Here is a 6,000-nt window from a genome sequence, read left to right on the forward strand (position 1 = left end):
TGCGCTACTCTTCAAAATGAAGAAAAAATGACTCTGAAAATGATTCAGAGATGACCAGAGCCACCATTTTGGTTTTATCAGGCTGGGCAGCTTCTATCTGAAGCCATGGTGGGAGGGGTTCACTCTGCAGAGGTATAGGGGTGAGACCAATCAGCAAAGCCTTGAGGGCTGCACTCCTGCCTAGAGCTGTGGAGGTGACACTGCTGCCACAGTGGGTCTGGGAAGCTGAGTATCAAACCAAAGAGGATTATTCTCAAGCCTCAGAATTTGCCTTGCTAGGTTTTGGAGTTGCTTGGGACCCATTACCCCTTTCATTTTTCTAATTTATCACTTTTGGAATGATAATGTCTATCTTATGTTTGTCCCATTATTGCATTTTGGAAGAAGATAACTTGTCTGCTTTCACAGGTTCACAGATGCAGATAAATTTTGGCTAGGGATGAACCATTCCTTGAGTCTCAATCCATATCTGATTTAGATGATATTTAACTGAGACTTTGTATTTTAGAATTGGTGCTGGAGTGAGTTAAGACTTTGGGGGCTATTGGGATATGATGAATATGTTTTGCATGCAAAAGGACATGAAGTTTTGTGGACTAGGAGAGGAATGTTATGGACTAAATTGCATACTACACAAATTTATATGTTGATACTCTAACCACCAAGGTGGCTATATTTGAGGATACGTCCTGTGAGGAGGTGATAAGTGTTAAATAAAGTCATAAGGGTGGGGTCATAATCTTCTAGAGTCGGTGCTCTAGCAGATTACAGAGAGGAAGAGGAAGAGAAACCACAGTTCTTTCTCTGTGCCATACAGTGAGAAGGTGCGTGTCTGCAAGCCAGGGAGACAGCACTCACCAGACTGACCGTAATGGTACTCTGCAGAACTGAGATACAATTAAATTCTCTTGTTTAAGCCAACCAGTCTGTGACATTTTGTTATGGCAGTCTTATCAGACAAATACATAAGGTCCCAACATGGCCATTAGGTGACAGGAAAGCCAATGCAGATTGGTATATAGTGAACTTTGTTGACATTAGAACATCCTCAGAGGTAAGCTATAGGAGAATGAGAAATTTTGCTATCAATTATTTGAAATAATTAAAAATAAATCTCAAGCTAGGATCTACATTCCTAAAATGAATGAAATCAGAGTAGCAAGCTGCTGAAACGGTTGATAATTACAGCAAATAGACTGTAAGCAAAATTGTAAGTATTTAGTGCCTTTGATATTGTTATTAACCTCCTCTCTCTTATTTAGAACTTGTGAATTTTAGTTGAGGGAGGGGGTTGAGTACATCAGACGTGATGAAAAGGGGCAAAACTGAAGGACAGAAGGAGTAAGAAGTGCTCATAGAGTAATTTTGTGGGGAGCCCTGCTTGCCCTATTACAAACCAAAGAACACTCTTTTGACATTCCTTCTAGGACACAGAAATTTCTCCACTTAAATTTTCCATTTAACCCCTGCCAACAGCACACAGACTATCTTATCATAAGGGAAATCAAGATGAATCTCAGATTTTAAAGCTGGAGGCTTACTTCTATTTATGGTTTCTCTATTACTTACAAATGGGAAAAAATGGTTGTGGCTAAGCCAGTCAAAGAATTTTTAAAAATCACTTTAATTTTGCTTGAATTATTGGAAAGGCTGTTTGCTGTCTTTATTTTAGGTAGCATATTTATCTCTTTAATCCAATTTGTTTATATTATAACCAAAGTCTCTATCTTTCCATGAACATACCCAGGCCAGGGAATAGGAACCAGCTTCAGAGCCTGCTGCCCAGTGATAGAAGCTGATCTGTTGTGATTAAATGCAGCCTAGGAAAATCCACAATGATTTTAATTTGCTTGCAGAACATTTGTTATACATAAAGCCTATGGCTACTTGAGATTTTTTTTTCTTTTATCTTTATCCAATAAGCAGTGATTAAGCAGCGGGCCTCACTTTGGTTATGTGTTCCTTCTGACTTACCTGCAAAATGACCATTATGTCTCCTCAGATTCTAGTGTTCAAGAAACCCTAGAGAAGGCATGGCACAGTTGTGTTAAGTCTTATTGTGTAGACTTTTGTCCCTGACCCCTTCTGAGCTGTCCCTGATGACAGCCCAGTGCCTGTCAATAAACTGAAGGCTCTGGAAGGAGGTCCAGTTTCTTATGCTCACTCTCAGGGATGATTTCCATGGCCCCAGCTCTTTGTGTGACCTCTATACTCTGATATTTTAAAGAAATACTAGATGGCATGGTATTGGCTGTGATGATGAAGTTACTAAAAATGACAAATAATGGACCCTTTAATAAGATTTAAAACAGATTTATTGAGCTGTGAGGTTGTCAGTGGTAATGAGATTTTATTCTCATCTTCTCACATCTCTTAATTTACAGCAGAGTTAGAAAAAAATTGTTTTTAAGGGCCACCAAAAATATGATTCGTGGCTTCTGCTCATGGATATCTTAAGCTCATTAGAAAATTATGAAGATGCATAATGCCCAGGGTAAACTAAAGGCTCATAAAACATTTTGCTTAAGGTAAAATTGATTTCAAATGTGCTGGGGGAAGTGAATATTAGTTATCCTTAGATTAATTCTCTTTAGCTTCAAGACTACATTGTATGGGGGCAAGATAGTTCTTTAAATTAAAGATGGAATAATTAAAAGTGCAATAAATTAAAGGAATTACTTTATTTGATATAATTTCTATGCAGTCTGATCTCACTGATTCTGTTATGGCACTGTCAATGAGTGGTGATGACTAGGTACTGATTTCCAACCATATTATTCTTCACTGTAATCACCCTTTATTATAATACTCATCTGCAAGGGTACATCGATCAGAAAATGCCCATTAATTACACTGCTAATGGTCAGCAAGTGAGAGGATTATGCTAAATGAATATGAAACGAGCTGTAAGTACTTTTGGGGCCACTGTAACTCTAGCAGTGGTACTATGGGCAATGCTGAATTCGTAGGCAAAGCTGCCAGCCTGGAGCCGGCAGGGAGCATGCATTATCGACCTTTCATTTACTTGGAAACCTGCAGGGGCTGAAGCCTAATATTAACCAGTGATACATAGAGCATCTTTGGCATGCAAGGCATGGAGAATATTGTCCTCCGATAATGCAAAAAAAAAATGAAGATGTCTCTAAATGACACAGTTTGATTCTGCTTCAGGTTTTGGAGTGTTTCCTGTCTGCTCTGAAGAATAAAATTTGAAACATGAGGCAAAAGCTCTTTATATCTGAATATAAAATATAGCAAGGAACAATGATTTTCAGATAAGATGTTTCTAAATACATAGTAGGTTAGTGGGTGCATTTATTTAGTATACATATGTATTAAATTGTTCTTCCACTAACTTCCACATACTTCAGATTATTATAATGCTTACCAATATGCAGATGTCTTATTTTTAAAAGTAATAGGATCTTAATCCAGTAGTATTTAACCTTGACCCTACTGGTATTGAAATTACGCTCCTGTTTTTTAAAAGCTATTTGCAGTGTTAGAAAGATTACAAATTTCTCAAATTTGGTCTTCTACTTGTGGCACAGGGGATATTGTTAGTATAGTTTTAAAATGCCATTGAGCTTGAAAGTTGGAGAAAAGGGAAAGGAGATGACTTTGAACTTGCTTTAATAGAGAAACAGAGAGTACAAAATTACATAATTAGAGAAAGAAGAATATAGGTTGATTTTATGGACCTATTCACTGGAAAATCAGAGTGTAAGTTGATTTTCATATTTGAAATAAAATAAAAAAAAAAAGAAAAAGGGCTGGAGAGCTGCAAACACTCTTGTAAAGAAGCAGAATACGTTTTCTTCTTTATCCAAACTTACTGCTAACACGATAGAGTTAGAACATTTTTGGACTATTCTTAAGGTCAGTTAGAAGTACTATCCACCAGCAAAAAACAGCTTTATAAAATACATAGAAGAAGAAACAGGTAACTAAGATGCTGAACTTCATAAATATTATTACTCTTCACTGGTCTCTCTATTGAAATGCCAGAAAAACTAAAAATAATGGCTCTATGCCGGCTAGTTTTTTTTAAATGAAGCACTCAAATTTTCAACTCACATCTTTGTATTCTCTGCCAAAAAACTTTGATTTTATTGTATTTTTCAGGTTGTATTAATGAATTTCTTATTTTTGGCATTGAGAATACAATGCTTTTGTCTCCTGTAGATGCCAAATGTAGGACAAATTAACATTCAGCATACCTATTACTTGGAAATTAAAATACTGTTACATTTCTTCTGAATGATTTCTTTTATTACAAAAATATATTTAATAAGACATTTAAAAAATGAAGTGGCCCTTGAAATTTCAAAGTAATTTTTATTATTTCCATAACTCTCTTGTCAAATTAATTAGATATTGTGGGCCAAATGTGTAGTTTAAAATCATCAGATTAATGCAAATGACATTTTATATGTAAAATTAAATAGGAGACTTTTAGAGATTTCTTAATTTAACCTGAAAGGCAATTGTGAAAACAGTTCCTTTTGCCAAAATTAAAGATATTATTTAAAATTAATTTTAAAGCTAAAAGACAAACATTACTTCAGATTAAATGCTAAAGGACAAAGATTAATAGTGAAAAATCTTTAATTAGTAGGAAGGAATTGAGTGGAAAATTATTAACTCGTTGCTTCATAAATCTTTAATACTCATTGATTAATGCTTTATATTTAAAGATATAATCACCAGAGTGTAAATAACCAGTATAACCTTTCTTAATAGTGGGCTAAAACATTCCACCAGGCATTTGAAAGACATATCCTTCTGGAATAGTTGGACTATGTTATTCTGAAAATATTGAAGCCGTTTTATTAAGAAAACCAAATTCTCATGAACTTTGGAAACATTTATTAAACCTTCAATCTTTCTTTCTTTCTCCCACAAACATCACACTAGCTATTTCAGAAATACTAAATTTACCACTATCATTTTAAAAAACATGATTTCTTAGACTATTATTAGGTAGTCATTTAAAAACACTCTTTAAGAATTTATTTTTAATTTCTTAACAACTGTATTTCATAGAACTGTGAATATCATGCTCATATTGGTCAAAATGTGGGCATTTTTGAGCTGCTTTGCTAATAAACATAACTGGGGATTGTTTTCTCATCTTCAATAGTGATGGAAAAGGCCAGGCAGTAAGGACAAAATGAAAACTCAAATATATTTTCATTAGCATGTAAGGATTTTATAATAGAAAAATTTATTTATTACAATTTCTCTTGGGGTGAGCATTGTCTGAGAGAAGTACTTTGATAAAGCAATTTTGTAGATGGTAATAAGGGAATAGTCCCTCATTTTCTGGGAACGAGATAAGAATAATTTTTTGCTTCCATAAAATAGTTAGTGAGGGGAGAGAATAATAAGAATTAGTAAGCTGCCAGAATGCTGTGTGTTGCATAATACGGTTGATCTTTGTGATATCCCACACATGCTTCATGTCAGTGTATTTCTTGCAGAAGCTCGAGAAGGTGCTGAATTTTGCAATACCTGTTGATATATGGTGAGACAGATGCAATACACACACAAATAGAAGCCAAAGGCAAGTTCTGGACCTAGAGCTAAAAATTCGAGACACAGAAAATTAAACAAAGGCATTATATCAGCATGCTGATGAAAAATATCCAACTCATAGTCCTGAGGACCCATGAATGAGATTGAGGAAGAAAGCTGTCCTTAGTCAGCTTAGGGTGCCATAACACATATCATTGCCTGGGTGGCTTAAACAAGAAACCTTTATTTTTCACATTTCTGAAGCTGGCCCATCCAAGATCAGGAGGGCAGCAGGTTCATTTCTCAGTGACGGCTCTCTTGCAGAGGTCTGTCTTTACACTGTATCCTCTTATGGTCCAGAAAGAGATCATTTCTCTTGTATTTCTTCTTATAAGGGCACTAATTCCATTCGTGAGGATTCTACTTTCACAAACTGAGATAAGGAAAGAACATTCTCCTTGAATTTAGCAACATGGATTTGAC

This window comes from Homo sapiens, chromosome 4 (genome assembly GCF_000001405.40).
Source record: "Homo sapiens chromosome 4, GRCh38.p14 Primary Assembly".
Lineage (NCBI taxonomy): Eukaryota > Metazoa > Chordata > Mammalia > Primates > Hominidae > Homo > Homo sapiens.